This window comes from Homo sapiens, chromosome 1 (genome assembly GCF_000001405.40).
Source record: "Homo sapiens chromosome 1, GRCh38.p14 Primary Assembly".
Taxonomy (NCBI): Eukaryota; Metazoa; Chordata; class Mammalia; order Primates; family Hominidae; genus Homo; species Homo sapiens.
In genome coordinates, this window is record NC_000001.11 from 20,189,126 (window position 1) to 20,216,415 (window position 27,290).

The 27,290-nt window shown below is 46.5% G+C and overlaps 1 protein-coding gene and 2 long non-coding RNA genes across 6 annotated transcripts in view, besides 2 other annotated features; 2 read left to right on the top strand and 1 right to left on the bottom strand.

Moving 5' to 3' along the window:
* The window catches only part of UBXN10 (UBX domain protein 10), a 12,720-nt gene extending 5,795 nt beyond the window's left edge, over positions 1-6,925 (top strand). For all 3 annotated transcript variants that reach the window (XM_011540699.4, XM_005245742.5, NM_152376.5), the window contains exon 2: positions 1,422-6,925. In XM_011540699.4, coding sequence (XP_011539001.1) covers positions 1,437-2,279 — 843 coding nt within the window. In that variant the 5' untranslated portion in view covers positions 1,422-1,436 and the 3' untranslated portion in view covers positions 2,280-6,925. The remainder of the gene's footprint in view (positions 1-1,421) is intronic.
* Positions 6,142-6,201: an enhancer, noted in NCBI's record as "active region_317". NCBI's record gives its function as "activates an Ori minimal core promoter by ATAC-STARR-seq in GM12878 lymphoblastoid cells {active_cell/tissue: GM12878}" and the evidence as "EXISTENCE:reporter gene assay evidence [ECO:0000049][PMID:35858748]".
* A 1,255-nt stretch (positions 6,926-8,180) lies between the features above and the next one.
* LOC105376825 (uncharacterized) lies at positions 8,181-13,702 on the top strand. Its single transcript, XR_947031.2, has 3 exons — positions 8,181-9,956; positions 11,420-11,523; positions 12,540-13,702. It is a non-coding gene; the product is annotated as an uncharacterized LOC105376825 (long non-coding RNA).
* A 7,887-nt stretch (positions 13,703-21,589) lies between these two features.
* Positions 21,590-24,224, bottom strand: LOC105376826 (uncharacterized). Of its 2 annotated transcripts, XR_947032.3 has the most exons (3): positions 23,653-24,224; positions 22,724-23,234; positions 21,590-22,236 (listed from the first exon to the last, which is right to left on the bottom strand). It is a non-coding gene; the product is annotated as an uncharacterized LOC105376826 (long non-coding RNA). The 2 variants fall into 2 exon arrangements; XR_007065526.1 differs by having other exon boundaries at positions 22,724-24,224.
* Positions 21,891-23,090: an enhancer, noted in NCBI's record as "CDK7 strongly-dependent group 2 enhancer chr1:20537509-20538708 (GRCh37/hg19 assembly coordinates)". NCBI's record gives its function as "activates an origin of replication core promoter dependent on BRD2, BRD4, P300/CBP, MED14 and CDK7 cofactors, with strong dependence on CDK7, by STARR-seq in HCT116 cells {active_cell/tissue: HCT116}" and the evidence as "EXISTENCE:reporter gene assay evidence [ECO:0000049][PMID:35650434]".
* Positions 24,225-27,290: the final 3,066 nt, after the last annotated feature.

The following is a 27,290-nucleotide window of genomic DNA, read 5'->3' on the forward strand; positions in this document are numbered from 1 at the left end:
AGTGGCAGAGAAGCTGAAATTGAACCCACACTTTGTGACACCTGGTCCTCTGTCCTTTGCTCCCAAATATGCTGTTTCTTGGGGACCATGAATCACTGGAAAGTCACCAGAAGGTCTTTAGAAGGCTAGGAGAGGCCAGGTCAGCTTTCAAGCAGAGAAGGCAGGAGTCACAGTGGTGGTCAGGATTCAGAGGGAGGCAGGGAGCCCAATAAGATGTCTGCAATGTTTAGGGAAAGATGGAACTGGAGATTGGGAGGAGGAGGTGCTGGTAGTAGTGTTAGTGAAGTGGCCACCAAGATGGCAATGAAAGAGGAGGTGTCATGGTTTAGCAATTCCGGGTCTGCACAGAGAAATGTTCACGCCTCCCACCATGCTTCAGTTCATTGCTCCTGGTGGATTTAACCAGCACTCACACAGACTTTTGGTGGGAGATCCAAATACAGAGGCCCCAGGGTGCCTATCGGGTAGCTGGGAAGACAGAAGTCTGAACAGCTCGGGAGGCTGAGGCACAAGAATTGCTTGAACCTGGGAGGCGGAGATTGCAATGAGCTGAGATGGTGCCACTGCATTGCAGCCTGAGTGATGGAGTGAGACTCTGTCTCAAAAAAGAAAAAGAAAAAAAGAAAAAGAAAAAAAGAAATGTGAGCAGCTAGCAGACATACAGAATGTGATGTGCTGGGCTCAGGAAGCAGCTTGTATGGGTACAGAGGACACAGGATCGGGTGTCACAAGACCTGGGTCCTATCTCCAGCTCTGCCACCAGCTGGCTGTGTGACCATTGGGAAATCACTCTACCTTTCTGGCTCATACATCTGTAGAATTAGCATGCGCCCAGAGTTGCTGTAGGACAGGGACCAACAAATGATGGCCCACAGCCCAAATCCGGCCCGTCACCTATTTTGTGTGGCTCATGAACTAAGAATAGCTTTCACATTTTTAAATCATTGAAAAAGAATCAAAAGAGAGTATTTTGTGACACATGAAAATTATCTGAAATTCAAATTTCAGAGTCCAAAAATGAAGTTTTACTGAAACACAGCAGGTTTTCTGGTTTTTACCAGAAACTTCCCCCCTCCTAAAAGAATAAGAATTAGTCCCCCACCTTAATCACGCTCTGGTGCAATAATTTTTATTTTCTTCATAGCGGTTGTTACTCTTTGAAAATATCTATTTACTTGTGGGTTTTAACCCCTGTCTTTCCTCACTATAATAATTTACATTGCAAGGACTTCGGTTTGCTGATCTCTCGCAAGTGCCTAAAATAAATGAATGCATGCCTGAATGAATAAATTGCAGCTGGTGCCCCTTACTAGATGCCAGAAATTTGTGCTTATTCTGGGCACTCAGGGAGGGAATGGCTTGGATCTAGGAGTCCCAGGAAGTTTAACCCACGGACTCCTGTTTTTTTCCTGCTTCCTTAGGGGTCTTGAGAAGCAATGGCCACAGAAGCCCCTGTGAATATAGCACCACCTGAGTGTAGCACTGTTGTCAGCACAGCAGTTGACAGCCTCATTTGGCAGCCAAACTCACTAAATATGCACATGATAAGGCCCAAGTCCGCCAAGGGACGGACAAGACCGAGTCTGCAGAAATCCCAGGGCGTGGAGGTGTGCGCTCATCATATACCATCTCCGCCTCCAGCCATTCCCTATGAGTTGCCAAGCAGCCAAAAACCAGGAGCCTGTGCACCCAAATCTCCAAACCAGGGAGCTTCTGATGAGATCCCTGAGCTGCAGCAGCAAGTACCCACTGGGGCTTCCTCTTCTCTCAATAAGTATCCAGTCCTTCCTTCCATCAACAGAAAGAACCTGGAGGAGGAGGCTGTGGAAACCGTTGCCAAAAAGGCCAGCTCACTGCAACTGAGCAGTATCCGGGCTCTTTACCAAGACGAGACGGGCACCATGAAGACAAGTGAAGAAGATTCCAGAGCTCGAGCTTGTGCCGTGGAGAGGAAATTCATCGTCCGAACCAAGAAACAGGGCTCTTCCAGGGCTGGAAATCTGGAGGAACCATCGGACCAAGAACCAAGGTTGCTGCTTGCTGTTAGATCACCAACAGGCCAAAGGTTTGTACGCCATTTCCGGCCAACAGATGATTTGCAAACCATTGTTGCTGTGGCCGAACAGAAAAACAAAACCTCCTACCGACACTGCAGCATTGAAACAATGGAGGTGCCCAGGAGGCGATTTTCTGACCTCACCAAATCTCTGCAAGAGTGCAGAATCCCCCACAAGTCTGTGCTGGGCATCTCACTGGAAGATGGGGAAGGGTGGCCCTGAGTCCACAGCCACCCAGCTGAGGTCCTGGGTCTCTGAGCAAAGGAGCATGCTTGGGCGTTGTGGCCTCTTAGGCAGCCTGTTTCAAGTGCCATGTGGACCTGGTGCAGCTGGGAAGCTTGGGACTCTCGTCTGCACTGCGTGTCCTCTGAAGCAGTGAAGTCTGTGCCTATGCCGAGCGCGCTAAGAAGTCTCCCTTCCAGCTGTTCCATTCTCTCCACCACCAGCGTAACTGGCAAGTTACCAAGGTTGTTCCTGAAACAGCAGTGATCATGACTTCTCCTTTCCAGAGTTTTGGGTCCTTCTGAATTAATGGTCCTTTTCGAACACCGGCTTGCCTTTACAGTGAACTGTGATTCTCTCGAAGCCAATGCTTTCCTGTCTGTATTTGATGCAGGATTAAACACTTCCCAGAGAGGATTCTAGTCTGGTAAATAACCACAGTGTAGGAACTATCTAACTGGCATTTGTGTTTCTTGCGAGTATTTTGAAGAAACAGGCCGTTGACCCCATCTTTGGAAGTAGCCCTTTACCATGCATGGTCAGTTTCTTAGGGATTTACTATTTGTGTGAGGTGGCATCTAAGGGAAGAATGGGTTTTCTTCCCCAAAACATCAGCATTTCTAAAATAGTCCTAAAGCTTGAAAGTAAGTTGCTTCCATGAGCATGGATTACCCAGTAGCTACTTTTTAATAGAGACTGACTAGGTTTACAACTTCTGGGAGCTACTCTGTGGGCTGAATTCTTCCAAAACCGAGAAAAGCCAGTGCAGTCTGATTTCTTTTGCTTTTGTCAGTAATGGAATCTTTTGTTTTTAAAATGTACAAACCTATAAGTTTAAACAGGTTTGTACTGACAACCTCCTTGGCTTATTTGGGGGTGGAGCAATTGTTTTATTCCCCAGTTTCAGTGCGTTGCCCACTTCAAACATGGTGTGTCCTTTGGAGCTGTGACAGAGGTGCCTGTTCTGACTTAGAACCTCTGGAGGAGGAGGGGGGTGCCTTGGTCTCGTGTTACTTTGCTGTGCCTGTGCTGAGAGACCATGTGCCCGAGCATCTGGTTGACCGGCATGAAGTACATCAGCCTGTCTTAGCCTGAGCTGCTTTGAAGACCATGGGGTCTTGTGTTTCCAACTTCGAAGTGCTGATGTGGACAGTTTGCCAATGTTCTCTTCTATTGCAAGTTCAGCCAGACTCCATGACTCATCTGATCCCTTTTATGGCCAAATCATCCTTCAGAGTAGGGAACACTCAGACATTCTGTGCATGTTGTTCCCCCAAAGCATGGTCATCACAAAGTCCTGAGTTCTGGTGTGTGCTCCCGCCTCCTGGGTATACAGAGAGAAGGCAGGAATCAGGAGTTCCAGAAGCATATACATGTGGCTACCCCAGCAACAAGCGCATCCTGTGCTCAGATAAGCTGCATGGTTGGGAGTGTTTTTTCTCGCACGTTGAGGCTTAGTGGAGATGGGCACCACTGCCATTTGCTCAGAAGAAGGCTGGTCTGGTCCTAACTGCATCCCACACTGCCCAGATCATTCTAGAATAGGTTATTTCTGAATGTTTTATAGAATTTCTTAATACCATCCTGGTTTGGTCAGCCATTCCTTTGATTGGAAAGGTCAGCTGGGGCCAGTGGTGCCTCAGGCAGGCCCACACAACTGGCCACCTCTTCCCGTTAATGACCACAGCAGACAGAATTTGAGCCCAGCACCTAAAAGTACAGGAATTTCACTTCCCACCAGGACTTGAGCACATAACTCTATGTCTGATCTAGGAGGCTGGGGGAAGAGCCTCCCATAAAATCACACCTACTCTGTGGTAAGAATAAAATCCCACCCACCTGGGACTTGGTAATTTCTCCAGACAGGAAAGCTTTAGAAAACTTGAGTGAAATGGAGCAAGCTTGAAGGAGTTAGAATCTTCTGTGCTTAGGGTTTGCTGCTGCTGGTGAGCTTAGAATTTTGGGGTTGGGAAAAAGTGGAAGGCATAAGCATAGAAATATTTTAGGATATTTTAGGATATGTGAATAAAGCTAGACTCAAACCATCATAATAAACATTTTTTTTTTGGACAAAAGATGATACGATAAAAACCAACTTGTGTGAAACTGAGTCAGTGGAGAAGTGCATCTCGTATTTTAACCTAAGGCTTCAGCTCCCACACACGACTGGACAGAGGGGTGTGTTAGCCTGATCTTCAGTTTTCTCATTGGGAAAGCACTTGTTCCACTGTTAGAACCAAGTCCTCCTCCCCGGACACTTCTGATGCCCACTGCAGAAGCGACGGGGCTCCTGCTCTCAGCTTCTGTCACAGCACTTAGCTTGTCTGGATAAGAGTCACCTGAATTTTTCCTAAACATCATTCCAAGTACTCTGATTTTGGGGATTGGCAAGAACAAACTAAATCAGAATTCAGAGTTCCTGATGGCTCCACATGTTGCATTGCAGCTGAGGCCCCCTGTCCTAAATGGGCTCAACCGGCCTAGCACACTCCTCTTGGTGGCTTTGGGTGGGTCAGCCTTGCCCAGTTTGGGGTCATAGACCTCAGTTATTCATTTAACCGATGGCCATTGAGGGCTTACCCAGTGCCACACTTTGAGACAAGCATGGGTGTCCTGAAAAGAAAGTGTTGGCAAGAAAACATGAACCCACCATTGGACTCTCAACTCAAACCTTACTGAAGTCAGTGGCTATAGCTTTATCTGCAAAGGACCCCAAAGTGAGGATCCCACATTGTTACTGCTGGCTCTTCATCCCACCCTCTGGAGATGCTAAGGAAGCTCTTGCCCACCTTTTCTAGTGATGGAGTAGGAACTTTGCATAGGACAAACCTTCATGATAGGTTACTCTAGTATATTCCCTCATAAAGTCCAATAGGTAAATTAGTCTTGGCAGCAGAAGGAACAGCAGGAGAAGTAAGTGATTCATCATCTAGAATCCAGAAAATTTGCACCAACAGATGGCAGGTGGTTATAACACAACAGATCTTGCCCTGAGAATATCTGGGGACCCAGCCAACAGCCTTCAAGGCAGGGCACTCCTGCGGAAGAGATGGCTTGTGAACATGACTGTGGACCCAGAGTCACCCCAGAGCTCCCATATAAAATGCTTCACAGAGAAACTAAGAGCAGCCTTGGGGCATTCATTCCAATTAATAACCTTAAAGACTAGAGCCAGATCCACCTGCATTACAAAAGCAGGCATTCGAGGAACTAAACTTTGCTTTTGTTCATGCTCTTACCTGCCGTTTTAAATGGGTTTCTAATGTCAAATAAAGCCACCCTGCCTCTTGGGACAAAGATGTTTCTCTTTACTTAGTTTTAAAAATAAAATCCTCATAATAAGTTCGGATAAAAGAGACTTTTACATGGTAAGAGGATCTACTTTTCTACCTTTTAAACGGAATAAAGAAGACAGCTATATTATTTTGCTTTAGCATTAGTTTAGAAGTCATTCCAAGAATTAAGCAGGAACATCTGTTTTCTCAGTCCATTAAGGCAACACCCCACAGTAAAGTTAAAAGTTCACGAGCCTATTGACTCTCATCCAGAAACCAGAACCAACCAAACCCCACCATATAACAGGGAAGGCCTGAGGTCGCTTCGGAGGAGTTAGCAATCAAAGGAGAACAGACTTTTGGTGACTCAGTTACCAACACACAACACTCATAAAACTAAAATTAGGTGTTTTATTTTTTGTCTACACGGGTGGCGTGCCACTTTCCTTTCCTGATTAGGGAAGCTTCTCCCAGCCCTTTCTGACGTTCATCTGTGTGCCTTTATGTTCAAACAGTTTAGGAAGCAGCAGCCCTCCTAACAGTCGACGCGGAAGCACAAATCTCTGGAGGTATTTTTGGACACACTTAAATCCTATCCCAAGAGACTGAACGACTGTGGTGACAAATGCCCACGGGTAAAACTGAGCAAGCCTCATTCAGACTGTCCTGCTCAGAGGCGCCCTCTGGCTGCCGTGTTGAGGGGCTGGGGTGGAAGATGGAAGACTTGAGTGCTGGAGGTATGAAGGTGACCAGAGAGAGGTGATGGTGGTTCGGGCCAGGGTGGTAGCCAGAGATGTCATGAGAGGTGGCCAGATTCTGGACATATAATCCATTTTCTTAAGGAGAAAAAAAAGGATAGTTTGACAAGTTGGGATTCACCCAGGTGGACTTAGCTTGACCAATATCGCCAACGTGGATTGTTTCTGCAAAAACAAACAAGCAAACAACCACCACGGCAGCAAAGCACATGGCAGGCAGGGGAAAGACACTGACCAGCAGGAACATTCCCATCAAGGAAATGCACGAGTGTTTTTGGACAAAGTGTACAGAGAAAATCAAAGCTATTCATTGTTTTAATTAAGAGATAAAACTAAGGTCACTGTTTCACTTAATGTTGAGATATAAGTTAAAAGTATCATCTACCTCTAGGGGTATGATATGACTGCTGACCAAGGTTACTTAATAAGAAATCCTTGTTCTAGTTAAATACACTGTTTATCTCTATCTCCTGTCCTTCATCCCTCCCTTTCTTGCCACCCTTCCCTCCATTTATTCCAGTCCAGCAGCTGACTGGGGATGCATTTCTTCTTGGGAAGGCAAACAAAGCCATCATTCTGGGGCTTAATTAATAAAGCTCCTAGTTTCATAGTTTTCATGCTCACCTCGTGTTTATATGAGGGGATCTGTGCAGTGGGGCCTTGGTCCCTTTTGTGACTGGCTAAGAGCTGCGTCTCTCTGACATTTGTTCTCTTTGATAGGAGATGTAGATGTCATGGGTCCACTCTGGCTGGTGAGCACCTCCAGCAGACAGCCTGGGTCTGCTCTAGCTCTAGCCACTGTTAACAAGAATGGCCAGCCACCTGCACACAAACCCTGGGAGAATGGCGGGGGTGCCCACCCTGCCAGCTGGGACATATTCTCTGGAAACTTGCTGCCCCCACCCCACCACCTGCATACAACCCTGGCTGATCCTGCATCAGCCCAGACCAGACATAAGCATACCAGGTCCTGAAGACTCTGGATCTGGACTCTTGGCCACTCTGTAGAGGATTTCCCCAGCTGAGGCCTGGGCCTCAGCTCGTTCTTTTCCTTCTTCTTCTTCTTTTTTTTTTTTTTAGATGGAGTCTCACTCTGTCACCCAGGCTGGAGTGCAGTGGCGCAATCTCGGCTCACTGCAACCTCAGCATCCCGGGTGCAAGTGATTCTCCCATCTCAGCCTCCCGAGTAGCTGGGACTACAGCTGCGCACCACCATGCACAGTTAATTTTTTGTATTTTAGTAGAGATGGGGTCTCACCATGTTGTTCAGGGTGGTCTCAAACTCCTGAGCTCAGGCAGTCAGCCCACCTCAGCCTCCCAAAGTGCTAGGATTACAGGCTCGAGCCATTGCGCCCAGTGCTCTTTTTCTTCTTAATGGAGTTCCCAGCAGGCTGTCACCTGATTCAAATCATCTGTAACAAATTTATCCAACAAATATATATTAAGCACCTAGATGGCAGGCACATATCAGGCTCATCAGTGAACAGGCCAAAACTCCCTCCTCCCACATACTAACGGGAGGAGACAGAAAGTGAATATACATAATTAATGTAGAATGGTAGAAGAGGATACATGCCATGGAAAAGAGAAAGTAGAGGCCGGGCGCGGTGGCTCAGGCCTGTAATCCCAGCACTTTGGGAGTCCAAGGAGGGAGGTACACGAGACCAGCCCGACCAACATGGTGAAACCCCATCTCAACTAAAAATACAAAAATTAGCCGGGCGTGGTGGCATGTGCCTGTAATCTCAGCTACTCAGGAGGCTGAGGCAGGAGAATCGCTTGAACCTGGGAGGTGGAGGTTGCATTGAGCCGAGATCGCGCCACTGCACTCCAGCCTGGGCAACAGACCGAGACTCCGTCTCAAAAAAAAAAAAAAAAAAAAAAAAAAAAAAAACGGGAAGGAAGGAAGGAAAGAAAGGAAAGAAAGAAAGAAAGAAGAGCAGGCTGTGGGGATCTGGAGAGCATGGGCGGGGCAGGGAATTGGCAGAGGATGAGGTCTGACACGGATGGTCAAGGAACACCCAAGTGAAGAATCAGAAGCAAACAAGGTTGTCAGTCTGTAGATAGGTGGGGGAAGAGGGCTCCTGGAAGAGGGGGTGCAAAGGTCCTCAGAAGAGAGCACTTCCAGCCTGTTAGGGGAAGGACCAGCAATGGGTGTGGCTGGAGCCAGGTGGGTGGGGCAGTCAGAGATGGGGGCAGGAGACACACAGTGTCACTCTGGGTCAGATGCAGAGCCACTGCAGGCAGCTGAGCAGAGGAGTGGTGCCCGATGGATGTCTTCAAATCCGCTCTTGGCTGCCGAGTTGAGATTAGGCAAAGGCAGAAGACAGAAGACCAAGTAGAAGCTATTAGCATAATCTAAGTGACAGATGATGACCAGAGTGGTCCCCACAGGTGTCATGAGAAGTGGACAGCTTCTGGGTATAGAACCTATTTATTTTTTTAAAAAGTGATAATTTTATTGTAAAAGTAGCATTGAAGTAAATGCTAACCCATAATGTACATCATCATTATACATTATTTTTCCAGGCACAAAAGGCTCATTCTTATAGAAGTCATTATATTCTTCCCCAAAAACAAAAGCACATGCTTTTTTTGAAAAATGGAAAACTTGGGAAATATAGAGAAGATTAAAGAGGAAAATAAAAATCATCCATAATCCTTTTGGTCAGAGATAACTGTTGTTAATATTTTGCATATATTTTTTTTCATTCTTAATGACTAAATTTATGTTGCACATTACTTTCTTGCCAGTAGGCACACATGCATATTTTTAACATTTGTAATCTTAGCAAACACAGTTAAATATTCTTTCTCCAAATATCTACAGCCTTCATAATTATTTTAAGACTGAGTAATACTTCAACATGTTGATGTACCATAATTTATTAAACTACTTTCCCTTTATGGAAGGAAAATCTATGTGTTTCCAATTTTTCTTTTTTTTTTTTGCTATAGAAGTCTATGCTGAAATCTTCATTTAGGTAGCTTTTGCATCTTTTGAATTACTTCTTTAGGACAAATGTCCAGGAATAGGATTGGTAGGTCAAATTACATGAAAATTTTTATGGATTTTGCTTTTACTTTTCAATGCATTATATAGCAAAGCACGTAACAACTTCATTGTAGCATCTTCAGTTTTGTGGTTACTGCTTTTTAAAATTTTCCCTAATTTTGTTGATTGAAAATGGAAACTAAACTTCAAAAACTTTCCATGCTGCTGATTACTGTTAAGTATTAACATTTCCCATGCCTCCCAACACACTTTTAATACTAAAATGAAAACATGAAGGCACAGTTACATTGTTGTCATAATCCAGACACTCTATTCCAATTAAAGCCAAGGAAAGTAGGACTGCTGGGGGCTGAGAGAGAAATGTCTTTGTTCTTACTATTCATATTTACATGAAGCATTACACCTCTCAAAATATGTATGGTCTTGAACATGGTCTTGAAAACGCATGCAAGATTTTAATGAATCAAATCTTATTTAAATACGTATCTTTTCGTTGAGCCAACAAACAGAATATGTACATGCAACAGACATGGGACATGACCATGACCGTGAACCAGACTGGTCTCTGCTCTCGAGGAACTTCCAATCTAGTGGGAAGAGCCATGTGAATTTCAAACGGGCATATATGGTAAGAACAATACTAGCCTTTTATCTCACTTGTCCATAGTCAAGTGAGATATTGACTAGCACAACAGTGGCAGGAGATAGTCCTTTTTATCTACAATAAACAGTCTCTGGAAGGATGTCTGATTGCTTGACTTCGCAGCAGCCTGGTCAGAGCCGTTAGCATTCAGTCTGAGGACCAGGGCTACCAAGCCATTGTTTTCTAATGCCTTTTAATTTGGACTTTAAAAAAAAAAAAAGAGTGTGGAGGAGGTGTGAGAGGCAGGTTGAGGCAAAGGCCAGCCTGGGAGCACAGGAAATCAGTTCACTCTGCAGAGAGCGTTTGTCCCCACTGCCATTGAGGAGACATTCGTGGGTCTTACTGAAAATGCTCTTGCACTTGGTCTTGCCTGTTCAGGCTACACTACCCTGCTCATATCATTCCCCACCAGGCCTGCCAGCCAAGGCATCTGGCATCAACCTGTCTAGAGTCCTCAGTCCCATCCTCCAAGAAGTCCAAGGTGTGAGTCACAGGCACCTGCTCAAGAGAGAAATTGACATGTACATTCACAGTCCACCCAAGAGGCTGTCCCTTCACATTCAGGCAAAGGAGCTGCAAGACCAGTGTGTAAACGGGGGTGTGGCTGGCAGACAAAGGCCAGGCTGCAAGCATTAGGGGAAATGCAGAAAGTCACCAGCAAATCCCAGACAGTACGCTTTCTACAGATTGGGATGGGTAACCCCCACTCAGTGTAGCCAGAAACGCCTCCCAAATGGCTTTTGAATTCTAAGACTGTCCAATGGGCAAAAATAGAATAATGGATTTTTAAAAGGGGGACTCCACATCCAAAAGACTCTGGAACTTTTAAAAAAGTTCTGCCCCAGATCAACTGAATTAATGTCTCTGGAGCTGGATTCTGGGAACTACTCTTTTAGAAACTCCCCAGGGAATGCTAAGGCTCAGCTGGGCTAAGAACTTCTGGGCTGGATGAGGTCATTTCAAGGTCCCTTCCAACACCTATGGTCTGTGACTCTCCAGGGCTGTCCTGTTCTCATATCTTTGCTCAGGCTTCCTCTTCCCCGACCCCAGCACCACTTCTCAGGAGGCCACCTTTCCGTGTCAGCTTCAGCCCTGATTTCCCTGAAGCCTTGGCCAGAAGAGACCTCTCCCTCTCTTGAGTTTCTCCAGCTCATTATCTCCCTCAAATCATTTTATAAAACACTCCGATGTGGCGTAGAAAGAGCAGAGGGTTTGGAATCGAGTGTCCCATGCTCTTCGTCTGGGTAGGTCATTGTTTCTCCAAGCCTCCATCTTCCCACCCACAAATGGAAACAAGTGCTCCGTGAGGGGTTGTTGTGAAGAGTCGGATGAAATAACGTGCATGGAGAATGCTTTGACACCTGTAAAAATAGGTACAAATGCTCATTTTTATTTTAGCAACTACCCATCTTCTATTGTGGTCATTTCTCTCTTTATTTGCTCCACAGACACTTGCTGAGCACCTGCTTTATGCAAAGCACTGGGGATACAAAAAGAAAGATGTGCGCACTGCCCTCCAGGAGCTCCCAGCCCAGTGCAGGGAGGCAGAGAGGTACACAGAAAGCTATCGTATCTATCACGAGATTAGCACAATTGTCAATTTTCTTCACTGATGCACCCCCAGTGCCTAAAACAGTGCCTGGCACAGGGCAGTTGCTCAGTGAATGTGGAATGATGAATCAATTCAAGGGTATTATGGAATCACAGACTGAGGATGGGGGAGGCCTCTGGAAAGTAACATAGGAGCTGAGGGTCGAAGGGCTGAGTAGGAAAGAACCAGTGCACATCTGGCCTCTTCCACAAGGCTTTAAGGCTCTGCAAGATCAGCTTGTGGCTAATTCATCGTTGTGCCTCTTGGTGCCTAGCAGTGGGCACTGTACTTAATAGGTGTCAACCTCTCAGAAATGAAACTTAAAGATCCTGCTTTAAAAAACAAAAAGCAATTCAGCATCATAGGCACAAAACTAACTTAGGTCATCTGAGTCACCCAAGCCCTTCAGCCAGTTCACAGTGATGGGTCTCACAATGATGCCATCCCCAAAGAGCCTGGCATGGTTTCCAAAGTTCCTTGCAGCGCTCTATGTAGAGCTGGCAAACACAGATTAATTCAGCCCATCTGCTTTGGTCCTCATCCACATATTTCAGAGCAGGTTTCTCATTACCTTAATCCAGATAATATATTCTTTGCAGCAAGAGACCATGAAGACAGGTAGGTTCCTGTTTTCTAAATAGTTCACATTTTCACAAGAACGGAAGCCCAGCCTACAAGTGAGACAGTGTTGCATAAGCAATCAAATACTCAAATGGCCCCTGCTGGAGTCCCTTTCAGGGACCACACTTCTGAAGGAAAACACCGTGGCCTGAGTTCCGAGTCTAGATCCAAGGCAGAGCTGTAACCCTGAGGACATTGGGTGAATACATTTCGGGAAATATTTATTTTGGGAATAAATTTCGAAATAATGTGCATGGAGAACGCTTTGACACCTGTAAAAATAGGTACAAACGCTCATTTTTATTTTAGCAACTACCCATCTTCTATTGTCATTTCTCTCTTTGTTTGCTCCACAGACACTTGCTGAGCACTTGCTTTGTGCCAAGCACTGGGGATACAAAAAGAAAGAGATGCCCACTGCCCTCCAGGAGCTCCCAGCCTTGAGCACACCCCTCGTGCATTGGTTCGGGGCCCTTGGAATGCAACCTAAAGGTACATTATCTAAGAGGAAGAGGAATCTCCAGATTCCTAGATGTATCTTCTCTAAGCCAGTGCTGCTGACTTAACCTCAACTACCAGAGGACAACCTGAGCCACAGAAAGTCATTTAAGTTGCAAAGGCAAAAAGAGCTCCTCCTGTAGCACGATGGGTGGTGAAGTGCATGCTGCCCAGGCCCAGACGACTATGAGCTCTTGTCCTTGGGTCTATCCAAGAAGAGGAATGGAGCCCTGGGCCCAGGATGGCTTATACATTCCCTGTCTGGAGACAGAGGCTGGGTGACCTCTCAGGACCCTCTCAGTTCTATAACTCCACAGCCCACTAGGGTTGGGGTCTTCATGGCTTGTAACTGGAGATTTTGCTAAAAGCAGGTGCTACTGCAAAGTTGTGAGTGCAAACAGGCTTCTTTCTGCAAAACGCTCAGATCTGAGATTCAACAATTGCTATCGAGCCCTCTGACCCAGCCAGTAGCCAGCCTGCAGGGGACTGTTTCTGAAGCATTTACACCGGGCGCCAGGTGAACAAGGAGGCTGACAGCCTAGCTGAGCTCCAGAAGCTCTGGCATTTGGAGAACATCTTCCCTTATTTAATGCTTAGCCTGTGCCTAAACTGACACACCTTACGTCAGGATAGGGTGGTTGGGCAAGTGGGTGTGTGTAGAGGTTGCTGTACAAGTCAAATGACATTTTCTGCCTGAAGGAGATCACAGAATTAGGGAATGTTGAGTTCAAAATTCCTACAGAACAATCTGCCTGCTGTACCAGCGTGTCATTTCCCCATTCTCCTTCCCCTTCTCCAACTACTGTTCAGTCTGTACCCCATTAACCTGCCTTTGCTTTTCTTCATTTTTTTATGATTACCTGTAATTATCTTATTTGTTGGCTTTTTTATTTATCAGCTGTTTCCCCAATCCCAATATAAGGTTCATGAAAGCAGGGGCCTTGCCTGTCTGTGCCCCAGGCACCCAGTGCCTGGCTGGTAAGCACATATTGAATAATAAATGAGCATCCCATGAACTCTAGAGCACACCCCTTGTGCATTGTTTCGGGGCCTTTGGAAAATGGCAACCTAAAGGTGCATTATCTAAGAGGAAGAGGAATCTTCAGATTCCTAGATGTATCTTCTCTAAGCCAGTGCTGCTGACCTTACCTCAACTACTGGAGGACAACCTGAGCCACAAAAAGTCATTTAAGTTGCAAAGGCAAAAAGAGCTCTTTCTGTAGCATCATGGGTGGTGAAGTGCAAGCTCCGCGGGTCCAGATCACCAGGGCTCAATTCCAGGTCTCCCACCTACCCATCAGGCCACCTTGGGCAGTTAGTTAGCCTCTCTGTGCCTTAGTTCCCAGTGTTGAAAACACAGGTTGTTAGTGTACTTACCTCCCAGGGTTGTAGGAATTAAATGTGTGGATACACATGAAGCTCTCAGCATCCAAAACGGCACCTGGACAGCATCATTGTCACCATCGTTGCCAACCACTTTGTAAGGTAGGGACTTGTCTCCATTTTAAAAACAGTGAGGTCAAGAACATGGGTGGACATGCTTGCAGTGTGCTCAAATGCAACCTTAAAGTAAGAGGAGTAGTCCTGAGCAGGGAGTCAAATGGCTGGTGGGCCACCAAGGGCTCTCTGTCCACTGCCACCATAGCCCTGCTATGGCCCTGCCTCATCGGTCAGCTTTCACCCTCTCCCCAGGTGCTTCTTCTTGGTCTCTCTCTCACAGCCAGGCCATTTGGTCACTCTACAGCACTACCTGGCATACCTCCTAGAGAGCTTACTGCCTTTCACTGCCCCCCATGGAAATGCACCACAATGCTCCCCACCTCTGCTGGCCCAGACATGCGTTCAAATCTGTGGAACCCCTTGCCATGAAGTGCCTGGTCTGTGTGTAGAGCTTTTCCCAGGCAGTAGAAAGAAGAGGAAGATGGCCTATGTTTTGCCCAAGGCCTCATTCTTTCTGTGCCGAAGCTGCACTGTCCAGACAGTGAAAGTGCCCAGAGAACTTCCTATGTGGCCACCTGGGGTGCCGTTTCTTCGGTGGAACCTGGGGGGAATTTCTAGCTAAAACAAAGAAGGGATGAGGAGAATGGAATGAACTTGTTTTTGGTGTCTACTAAGAACTTCACAGACTCTCATTTGATCTTCAGGGTGTTCCCCTGAGACAAACGTCTTACCTCCATTCTACAGAGGAGGAAATGGGACTCAGAGAGGAAGAGCAACTTGGCCATGGTGGCGCAGCCACTGAACAGAGGGCTGGGATTCAGACCCAGTGTCTCTAATGGTGAAGTCCTGCTTGGTGACAGCGGTAGGACAAAGGAGGCAAAGGAGGGGCATTTCGAATCTGGGGGGCAGGAGGGAATGGGCACCAGGATCAGCCAGCCCATCTATGCAAGAAAAACTGGCAGGTGGTTTTGAAATACTTTGATCCCCCCAACCCAAGATGAGAGCCCTTGCTACAGAGTTCAGAGGACATTTCAAGTCCAGGCCCCAGTGCTTTGGCATTTTGTTATTACAAAAATGAGGAGGTGATTAAATGGTGTTTACCATCCTTTAATCATCAATGACACAATTTTTATGTCTAGGACAAATTTCTGGTATAAATGTTCACAGTGTGCCTTTGAAGGAGGCTGAAAGAGACCACAGATGGCAAGTCCCAAAGAGTGTTTTCCAAGGCCAGGCTACGTTGTTCTGCAATACCCAAGCCTCATGCAGAAAGTGGCAGTGGGGTTGGCAAGGGCGGCTGCCTCTCGAATAGCAGGAAACATATTGGTGAGCAGAAAGTTCCTTAACAAAACAGTGTGCGAAGGCAGAGATGGAAAGTAACCATAGCAGACATTCCCCGGGGTCCCTTTCAGAGCTGGGGTGCAACTGAGTCTGAGGAGGCAACAGAAGATGGAGAAGAGAAACTCCCCAACCCCTACCTCCTGCCCATCAGACTGGTTTTTATTTCTTCGGCTACAGACAAAAAAGAAATTCCTTTACTCGGCCAGGCGCGGTGGCTCACACTTGTAATCCCAGCACTTTGGCAGGCCGAGGAGGGTGGATCACGAGGGCAGGAGATCGAGACCCTCTTGGCTAACATGGTGAAACCCCGTCTCTACTAAAAATACAAAAAATAAGCTAGGTGTGGTGGCGGGCACCTGTGGTCCCAGCTACTCGGGAGGCAGAGGCAGGAGAATGGCGTGAACCTGGGAGGCAGAGCTTGCAGTGAGCCGAGATCGCGCCACTGCACTCCAGCCTGGGCGGCACGGTGAGACTCCGTCTCAAAAAAAAAAAAAAAAGAAATTCCTTTACTCGATTGAAGCACTGCATCTTACCCATCAAGTCAGACTTTTCGAAAATTGCTGTAAACTCTGGCATTGCATACAGAGGGCACTGCATTCAACAAACACCTAATGTCTCCTATACATCAGGTTCTAGGCGAGGCCTCGGGAGCTCAGACCTGCCCTGGAAGAGGTCATCGTCTATAAGGGAGGCACAAGAGTTTTAGCTGGTGTGTGAGGGTGCCCTACCAGGTAGCCACAGGAAGGCCCTTGCTGGAAGAAGTCAGCAAAGGCCACACAGACAAGCCACCCTGCCTCTGAGTCTTGACTGGTGAAACAGGAGCTTGCCAGGCAGAGAAGGGGGTAGGGAAGGGCCTTCCAGGCAGGAGAAAGGGCATGTCCTGAGCTTGGAATGAGAAAGGGCCTGCCCTCCCAGCACATGGCGAGTTCAGAGTGGCTAGTGCCAATGCTTCCAGAGAGATAGTTAGGCAAGGGGATTGCAAAGGGCCCTGAAGACCACACCAGGGTGTGTGGATTTGACCTAGGCAAAGGAGAGCCAGTGGCGATTTTAACCCAGGGCTGTATCAGGACCCAAGTCAGAAGCTCATCTTAGAAGGGCCTCTCTGGCGGCTGCATGCAGGGGAGGCGAGGGTGAGACTGACTGGAGGCATGGAGGTCCGTTTGGAGGCCTATGCTGAGGCTGGTGCAGTGTAAGCAGGGCCTTGCTGCAGGGCACCAGGCAATGAATAAGGCTCTTGAATAAGGCTCTGGAGGCTTTGTATTTGCAACCCCACTGCTCTCTTCACATAACCCAGACCGCCAACATACCCTGGAGGGCTGCTGTTGGTGCCTGACCAGTGCCCATGGACATGCAGTCTGGGCTTCTTCCAACACTTCCTCCAACACTGTCATTGTCACTGGCCTGTGACAGGTACGCCCAAGAAGAGATGGGACCTTCTGCAGTGGCCAAGGCCACCAGTTCTCCTTGACTTCTGCCTCTATTTCCCCTTTCACACAAAGGGACACTGTCCTCCCCCAATAATGATATTTTAAATAACATAAGGCAGCAAATACCCCCAAACGCTTGCTATGTGTCAGGCACTGAAGCATAAGCTTTTTGTGGATTCTCTTTTGTTGTGATTTTTGTTTTGTTTTGTTTTGTTTTGTTTGAGACAGGGTCTCGCTATGTTGACCAGGCTGGCCTTGAACTCCTGGGCTCAAGGGGTCCTCCCACCTTCGCCTCCCAGGTAGCTGGGATTACAGGCATGCACTACTGTGCCTAGCTTTTTTAAATGTTTTTTTAATGAATTCTGTTTTTCTTTTGCTTTAAACAGACGTAGGCAGCCTTAAGTTTGTCTCATCCTCACGGTGGAACCTAAGAATTGCTGTTTATAGTGTTTAACAAGTAGGAACAACACATGCTGTTCAGTAAAGGGTAGGTGAAGCTCTACACATATTACATTTTAAAAAAAACTTTTTTTGTTGTTTTTGAGATAAGGTCTTGCTATGCTACCCAGGCTGGAGTGCAGTGGCAAGACCATAGCTCACCGCAGCCTCAAACTCCTGGGCCCAAGTAATCCTCCTGCCTCTCAACCTCCAAAGTAGCCGGGACTACAGGTGTGCACCACTGTACCTGGTGGATTCTCTCTCTCTTTTTTTCTTTCTTTTTTTTTTTTGAGATGGAATCTTGCTCCGCCACTCAGGCTAGAGTGCAGTGGTGTGATTTCAGCTCATTGCAACCTCTGCCTCCTGGGTTCAAGCAATTCTCCTGCCTCAGTCTCCTGAGTAGCTGGGATTACAGGCATAGGCCACCATGCCCGGCTAATTTTTTTTTTTTTTTTTTTTAAGTAGAGATGGGGTTTCACCATGTTGGCCAGGCTGGTCTCGGAACTCCTGACCTCAAGCGATTTGCCCGCCTCAGCCTCCCAAAGTGCTGAGATTCCAGGCTTAAGCCACCGTGCCCGGCCTGGATTCTCTCTTTTAACCACACAACAATCCTAATGGTGGCTCTAGAAGAGTAAGCAATACCTACAATGACAGAAGGGTCCTTGAAAGGAAGGGAGAGCCACTGAAAATCATCTGAACCCTGAAATCACAAACCAGCTGCTTCTTGACCAGATGCTTCGTCAAGAAGGTGAGAAGCCTCTTCCTTCTCCACCACCCTCCTCCCTCCACATCCCACCAGAAATCTGGGGCTTTTCTTCTTTAAGTCCTCTGGTGAATGCTCTTCGTCTATTAGAAACGTCTGTTGAATATTTACCACATTAAAAAAAATCTTCATTAATTGATGAGGTGAGTTTTCTTTGAGGATGTTCATTTCTCCCCAAGCTGGGAAATGGCTCTGACATTTAATGAGGTGGTCTGTGGCTTTCACGGCGTGCTCATTAGTTACACTTCTCAATTCCTGGCTTAAAAAAAAGACATTAAACTCCTACGGGCACACAATGAATTCCTTTGCCCCTAACATTTACCCCTCTATAATGAGGCTCTAGAGAGTGCCTTGGAAGCTGTTTCATGCCAAGTATCAGGTTGGTGCAAAAGTAATCGCGGTTTTTGCCATTTAAAAGTAATGGCAAAAACCACGATTACTTTTGGACCAACCTACTATTTACTGCATGGAATGCTATTTGGGGAGTTGAGGGCAGTGTGAGCTGCAGCTGGTCCAACTGGTTAGAAATGCGTCAAAGCAGGATTCTACTGTGATTCACTTAGGAAGATAACTCAGCTGGCAGTGTGAAGCAAGACCAGAAGGGTTCTAGACAATTGCTTCTGCAAACTTTCTCATGTACCATTTTAAGAAATGCTATATTTCTTAAAATGACTAGCTGTCAGCAGGTGCTTTTCATGGATGGAGGTTTACATTGCTAAGTTAAGGATGACAGTTCTTTGTTCTTTTATGAAAAGGCCAGCAAACCAGCCTGGGCAACACAGTGGGACTCTGTCTCTACAAAAAGATTAAAAAAAATTAACCAGGTGTGATAGCGCACACTGTAGTCCCAGCTACTCAAGAGGCTGAGGCGGAAGGATCGCTTGAGCTTGGGAACTCAAGGCTGCAGTGAACCATGATTGCCTCACTGCACTCCAGCCTAGGTGACAGAGTGAGACCCCGCATCCAAAAGAAAAGAAAAGGCTAGCAGAAAGTTCCGCCATCATTAGGGCCGTATGTCAAAGAGATGTCCCATGCAGTTCCTGAGAAGGTGAAGATCTTGGGGTTCAGTCAGTACTCCCCCATAATCCAGAGGTCAAAGTATGCCAGCAGGGAATGAAGCCTCAGGGGAAAGATGCACTGGAGTGAGGTCAGAGATCAGAGAGCAGAGCCTCTGAAGCCCTTTGAAATGGCAACTCTCGCTTCCCTAGGGAGCCACAGATATTTAGAAGATGCAGTTTCTCCTCTGGTCTTCTTGAAGCAGAATCAGGAACCACCCAGGAAAATGCCTGTCAGGGTTCTGTGGCTTGGGCCTTCTATGGAAGGTGGTATCCAGTGGGCCGCATGCTGATAGCAAGCAATGTGGTGGGCCCAACCTCCCTTGAGTTATTGTTAAATCCAAGTATTTCCTAGAATAAAGTTAACAGCTAGATACCGGAAATATGTTTTCACTAGTACAACTGCCCTGTCTGAGCAGGGTTCTCTCAGAAGAGCTCCTAATTACACTACTGTCTGGGGTAAAGACTCCTGGCCTCCATACTAGGAGATCTTACTCCAGTCTTGACTGTCATGTAAAAGCTTTAGCCTTTCTTGGCCAGGGGTGGCTCACGCCTGTTATCCCAGCACTTTGGGAGGCCTAGGCGGGAGGATTGCTCTAGGCCAGGAGTTCAAGACCAGCCTGGGCAACATAGCAAGACCTCATCTCTACTTTTTTTTTAAAAAGCTTTAGCCTTTCTGAACCTTATCTGACATGCAAAGATGTTAACACCTGCCCTGCCTGCTTTCCAAAACTGTTCTGAGGAACAGAGAGAGAAGAAACACGGAAACACTTTGTAAACTCAAAGAGCCTGTGCCCACGCCAAGTTAGGAGGTTAAATGTCACAGTGGCTCATATGGACCTGAGCCTCTAGACCAGATCTGAACCCCAGTCCCCTGTTTCTGCTGACCAAATCCCTTCCAGAACAGTCCTTAAAGCCTGGACATTGACCTTAATTTCAGGTTCCCTAGACACTCATGTAAAACGTCAAATCTTTACAAGTACTCTAGATGCTGAAAGTTGTGTGTTCTCAAAACATAAAAAAGCAAGAAAGAATCGAATACTTCCATGCCAAAAAATATCCAGTCCTCCCAAAACGTGGACATACAATGCCTGCACACTATCTGGAGCCCAGACCTGGTCCGTAAAGCAGGAACTGGCCTCGTCCATCATGATCATGAGACAGAAGGTCAAAGTTAGAAAGGCCTCTGAGCCACTTTCTTTTGGAGGGAAGTGGATGCCAAGACCAGCTGTCTTAGAAACCAAGGGGAGGTGCAGAGTGACCAGGTGGTCATCCTCCCAAACACAGAAAACAAAACAACTCTTTCCCTAAATCCCACTTCCAGAAGGATTCGCATTTTGCACTCGTGAAACGATTTCCTGGCTGAGAGCTGACCTACATTGCCGTTCCTACCCACACTGGTAATTGTTTACCACAGGGTGCCTGTTCTTTGGCCACTGTCCTTACTCTGGTGTTCAGCCTGTTAATTGCTTTCCAGTGGTTCTGTTGCACCAACTGTACTGAATGCCTCCCTGGGATCTATCCACTGCTTCCTTGGGCATGCTTAAGGGGACAGATACCCCAAAGGCATCACAGTGACCCCAAAGAGGCATTCCACCCACAAAAGCCATCTTCGAAGAAGGGGGTCACTTAAAACTGTCCTTGAAAAATGTTTGTGACCACATAAAAATGGAGAAGGTGGGGGTACAAAGGAAATAAGAGGGGAAGGCAGGCAGGTGAACGTGAAGGAGATGTGTTCTCTCTTCTTTCTTTCTTAAGGCCAAAGAATGAGCAAAGCGGAAAAGAATTGTGGGGGCAGAGAGGGGAGCTGGCTCAAATGTTCCACTGAAGGAGAGGCAGGGGAGCTCTAGTCTCTTGGCTGAGAAGCCTAAGAGTCTATCTAGTACAAGCCAAAGAGTCTATAGGGTCACGAATCGAAGCGCCCTCGGCGGGTCACAGTTGAGAGCCCTTCCCTGTGACCAAGTCCGATCTTTTCATTCTCCAGATGAGGAGACTGGATCAGAGAGGGAGTGACTTAGCCTCCACTCTGAGTGGAGGCATCTAGACTAGCTCCTCAGACTTCCCGACTCCCAAGCCTTTCTGCTCATTGGACAAATGCCATTTATACCTTCCCCTCTAGAGCTCCATATAAGCAAAACTTTTTCATCTGTTTTTTTGTTTGTTTTTTGAGACAGGGTCTCACTCGGTCACTCAGCTGGAGTGCAGTGGTGTGATAATGGCTTATTGTAGCCTCAACCTCCTGGGCTCAAGGGATCCTCCCACCTCAGCCTCCTGAGTAGCTGGGACTATAGGTGCACACCACCATGCCTGGCTAATTTTTTTTTTTTTTTAGTAGAAATGGGTCTCCCTATGTTGCCCAGGCTGGTCTCGAACTCCTAAGCTCAAGTGATCCTCCCGCCTTGACCTCCCAAAGTGCTGGGATTACAGGTGAGAGCTACCACAGCTGGCCTGTCCGTTTTATTCGTATCTGTCTCCTGAGAGAGCCTTGGAAAGTACTGACACATGGAAAGAACTCAACAAACATCTTTTGGGAAAAGAAATGTCCTACTTAGCTACCCTTTCACCTTAAGGCGTAGAGGATTTGAGGTATCTTCAGGCTGTGTGAGGGCTCTGACCTGTGTTACATGGGGGTTCCCTTAGGCTTAGTCATCTGTGGAGGGTTGCTGTTATGACAGTCTGAGGCTCATCACAGGGTGGATTCTGTCATGTGGGAGTTGCAGGGATGGGAAGGCGTATGAAATTATGAATTGTTCCAAAGTCTTTTAGTGAAAGGAATTCAGAGAGGAAAAGAGAAGAACCAGCCAATGCAGAACAACTAGCAGGCTAACAGCCTCAAGATCAAGGCCAGGGGAGGAGGGAAAGGGGATCCGGCATGTGTGGTTGGGGAGGGACAGGCTCAGTGCAGGACACTGAGTCACGCGCTGAGGGCCTTGCCAGTGTCAAGGACGAAAGGCTTGTCTGAGAGTTCTTCTGATAAATGATCGCAGAGCTTCCGGGATACGTTAGCTTTTAGACTATGCTGGGGATATCACCAGGATGCATTTGGAGCCAGGTCTCTGGTCAGGAGCACACCCCAGTTATGACGGTGTTTCTGTGGGAAAATATGGTCTGCATCATGAAGATATTCTTTACAACTCCTTTTCCAGGATGTGTTGGCTTGGAAAACTGAACTGTCTATGAGTCTACATCTCAACAGGCTCCCGGGCACTGAAACAAAGCCCAGTTGTAACCAAGTGCGTTGGAGGAGAAGCATTTTGGAGGGCAGGACAGTGACCCTGGAGAGGGGATAGAACCAGGTGGAGCAGGCCCTGGAGAGGGGCCAGCTCTCTGTGTAGGGGCAGCTTGGGGCAAACCTGGGGCAAACCAGGCCATGTGATGCTGCACTGTGACTCAGGCACCCGAGGGTTTGTCAAGTCTTGGCCAGTTCAGGACATTCCAGTCCACAAAGGTCCCTGAGTCAGATTCCCTAGGCTAGAAGAGAAAAGGGCATTCAAAGTTTCCCTTACTCAAATCAACCTCTTAAAAAATGAAATCAAAGCATTGAGTTTAAAGGTTAACTGCGCACCCTTCATACTCACGTATACAGCCTGAAACTCTGCCAGCAACCTTCGGTTTAAGGCAAGATGGGCTTGGTCCTTCCTGCTGGGATGATGGCCTAGGAGTTAAGGGAAGGGCCCAGGCTCTGAAGGAAGAGAATGCAGCCGAGAGATCCTTTTGCTGTTTTAGGATAGCCATGAGAAACTAGACTACGATTTATCCCAAAGCATAGCCATATGTTTCAAGTCAACATTTAGGATTTTCTTTTGAAGGAATGAAGTTAGGCATTGGTTTTAACCTTTCCCTCCACCCCTGAAACTGACACTGAATAATGCAGCTAGCATTTCCCCCTCCACAATCGTGGGCAACAGTCTACTGCGTGGATGTGCCTTTTAGCTGTAGATTGGCTGAAAAGTCCAAGTACTGCGCAGTTCCTCACGGCAGTCCTGTTTCATCCAGGTCACGGCAGTCTCCAGAGAGCAGAAAACAAGGGTGCTGGCCCCACCCCTTGTCTGGGATCTCAAGACCAGAAACCCAGAGTTGCAGGAGTTTCTAAGAAGCAGGAGAAGGAGGTAGAACTGAGATCAGAGGCTCAAATTTTTCCTTATCAGGGAAAAGGGGATAAGAAATTTTGGGGCCAACATTCCGTAAACTCTCGTTCCCTTCTCCACCTTCAGGGCACGAGTGACCCTCTGTGGCCCCTCCTGCTCCCTAACCCAGTGTAATTTACATGATCTTATCCTGTGTGAGTTTCAGGGCCGATTGGAGTGTAAGGGGCAGGGCAGATAACTGAATTTTCCCTAGCCCTGCACCCATCACCGAGAGTCCAGCCAAGGCATTCTGTAGAACAGTAAATAACTGACAACTTCTCTTTCGACATCAGCCCCCAGCATATGTTCACCTCCACCTCAGCAGAGCTCTGAAATGCCACTCAACCGAAATTAGCTTTTTCACCTTCTGGTTTCCTCACCGTGGCATGGTGCCAAGACTGCTGAACTGCGCCTCAAATGATGAGGTTCTGTAGCGTCAAAGCTGCCACTGGCTGGCTGTGTGACACTCAGGAAATCCATTTCCTTCTCTGGATTTGCTTTGGCCTCAAGCTCCTTTGGTATCAAACGAGAAAGGTTGATTCTCAGTCCATTTCAAGGTTTCTCCACTAATTTAAAAAAAAAAAAAAAAAAAAAAGCAACTGGGGCTTTTTTCTCTCTTCCACTAGATGGCGCTGTGTCTCCAACTGCAGCCGGCCAGGCCGGGAGCGCTCCCGAGGGCATTTGTTCAGGGGTTCCACTTGGCCGAGCACAGCGGAGGCGCCGGAGGCGGCTGCTCTCCCAGGACCCGGCCAAGAGGGTGCAATCCGGCTCTGCAGGTTGAATCAGGGCAAAACAGGAAATGGCCAGGAGCTTAAACTGCAGAGAGCAATTTGGTTTTAAAAGGGCAAAGCTTCGGATTGGACAGGCCAGGCAGGTTCCTGAAGGCAGGTTCCTGGGCTCTGAACCCCGTACGGGCACCCCGTTTCCCCAACTCAGGCCACCAGAGGATTCTGGCGCAGGCTATGTGCTGGGTCTTTCTTCATCTGCAGCTCACCTTTCGAGAATGTCAGCCTCTAAAAATTCTAGAATGTAGAACCAAATGCTTGAAGCATTAGAAGGGACTTTAGGGCCAGTGCCCTCCGCTGCAGAGTCTGGCCAAGGCATCCCAGAGGGGTGGCGTCCAGGTCACTGTGCCCATCACCTTTCCTCATCTCTGTTCAAGTGGAAGATGACAAGCCTGACATCTCTTTCAAGCTATCATCTTAATAATTTTTTTTTAGAGAAGGTTAGATAGTTCAAGTCAACAAATGTTCAAGAATAACAGTGTTTTAAAATGTAATCAGTAATGCTTTTTTGAATACTTAAATTAATAAAGTATCGGGTGAAAATATTTATGTCTTCTGTAGCGCAGGGCCAAGGGTGGGGGGAACTGAATAAAAGGCATCTAAAGCTACGTGAAATGTTTGGATATAGATGGGCAAATGCTAGAGTATAAGGAACAAACAGAAAGATGGTTTGGTTTGTGGCATTTCTGTGATTATGGATAATTTTTTTCTTCTTAAATTTAGAATGTTTGGCTGGGCGTGGTGGCTCACGCCTGTAATCCCAGCACTTTGGGAGGCTGAGGCAGGCGGAACTAGGGAGTTCAAGACCAGCCTGACCAACATGGAGAAACCCTGTCTCTACTAAAAATACAAAAAAAATTAGTCGGGCGTGGTGGTGGCTTATAATCCCAGCTACTCAGGAGGCTAAGGCAAGAGAGAATTGCTTGAACCTGGGAGGCGGAGGTTGTGATGAGCCGAGATAGCGCCATTGCACTCCAGCCTGGGCAACAAGAGCGGAACTCCATCTCAAAAAAAAAAAAATTTAGAATGCTCTTGGCTTTGCTCTGATGTTTGAAAAATATCAATAGCAAATCCCTAATGATTAGGATCTATTGACTTCTAAAAAACCTCCTGTATTTCCCTAAAATTTTCCCCCTTTCAAGTTCTCTGCCCAAAGGTCAGCGTTTCCTTGCAAATGTGACTATTTTTTTAGTTATTTTAAAGATTCTCTCTCTGAACTTCACCATTGATGCTTTTCCCATTGATTTGTTAAAATGTCATATTTTGGCTATAACAGAATAATAATTTGTTCTTCCTTCATTAAAATGGGGGCAATACAATATCAAAAACATTTATAAAAAATTCTTGTATAATCTCACCACTATAAAATAACTTCCTTCACTATGTATAGTTCTGTCTGGAGGCTGGCCACATATATAGGTATTTTTATATAGTTGTAATCATAGAGTATATGTTATTTTACAGAATACTTCTTTTTAAAGACTTGCCAAATTTTTATCCAGTATGTTGCCAATGCCAAAGTGTCAATACCTAATTCCAAGATCCTTCAGAAGGATGTCCAGTTAAAAGCCAAAATGATACTGGGGAATTTCATTACCTAACGTGACCTACTTAGTTCTCAGACACAGTAATACCTGTGGGTTCTGAACAGAATAAAAGAGGCATCCACATATGTGATTCGGCCACCCTCAGCTAGATCCTCCAATATCATTTTGGCTTTTAAGTGAATGTTCTTCTGAAGGATCTTTGGATTACGTATTGACACTTGGGCAATGGAAACAGAGATTGGATAAAAATTGCCCCCTCTGCATTCCTCTGAGTGTCTCTGTTTAGCACTTTAGAAGTTCTCTCTCCCGTCGTTTCTCGTTCATCTGTCTGTGTGTGGTGGAGCTGGGGTAGCATCTCCTATCTTTCTCTCCTGTCCCACTGCTAAGCACAGCACTGTCCACTCCGGAATTTACCCCATGAGAGACCCCTAGGAGTGCATCTTGTTTTGTCAGAAACGATGGGCTACAGCCTATAGCAGAAATCACGCTCCTTGAAAGAAGGTAAGAAAGAAGAAGGAACCATCCCCCAAATCCCAATGTTAAAGAAGAAGGAGAAATATCTCTCAAGTACTAAGACTTCGCCTTCCAGCTCCTACCTGGCAAGAAGCTATGGCACCAACCACCACAATCACACAGGTTTATGCACACCATTAACTGCCCCAGTCCTTCCACAAACTCAATGATATCCTTCACTGGTCTATGAAAATCTAGAGAATCCAGAACAGCTCCTTTTTCCAGGGTAGTGCTACCTGCTCACCCGCCCACACATCAGGCAGGCTCTAGGTGCTGAGCCTTCCTGAGAAGAAGCAGGAGTGATGTCAATTAAGGAGACAGGGGAGTCACTTCAAGACCAGATATATTTTTTGCTACACAAAGAGGTTCAGAAATCACTTTACAACACAGTATTTGTGTTTTAAGTACCTACAGAACAAGTCAAGATCAGTGGTAATGTTTAATGAAAACAAATACAAAATAAACGACTATTGTATCCTTCAATTTTGCTCAGAGAAGCCTTGCAGATACCAGTAACGAGACATGGTGGGGCGGTAATTAAAATGCAGACTTTGCTTTCATGCCATTACCGGGTCAGCATGTGCACGACTTGCTAAAATCCTTCCCGGTGATGGCATTTACTTGATACTTCTCTGCAATGTTATATGAAAACATTCCATGCAACCCCAGATTCCAGGACAAAAGAGGTACATTTTAATGAAGCTTTATCACATAGTCATCTATTTATACCCTGCCTTGAGTCAGAAGGGACTTAGGTAGCCAATAACGACAACAATAATAATAGAAACAGTTGCCATATGTGAGGAACTATTACATGTCAGACACTGCATATGAGGTGCTTTATTTACATTGCCTATAATTTTACAGAAATCCCTCCAGGAGAGATGGCATTAGAGAGGGAGCAGGTGCAGAGGTTAAGAACTCAGGCCCTAAAGTCTATTTGGCTTTGATCCTGACCCCACTACCTACTAGCTATGAGACACCAGCAAGTTACCTAAACTCTCTGGGTCTCAGTGCATTATCTGTACAATATAATACAGATATTAGTAACTACCTCATAAGGTTAAGGATTAAATGAGATCAGCCATATACAGTGTTGAGAACAGTGCCTGGCACATAGGGAGGGCTCAATTAACATTAGTACAGTGGCAGAGACTTTTAATGGTCACCCGT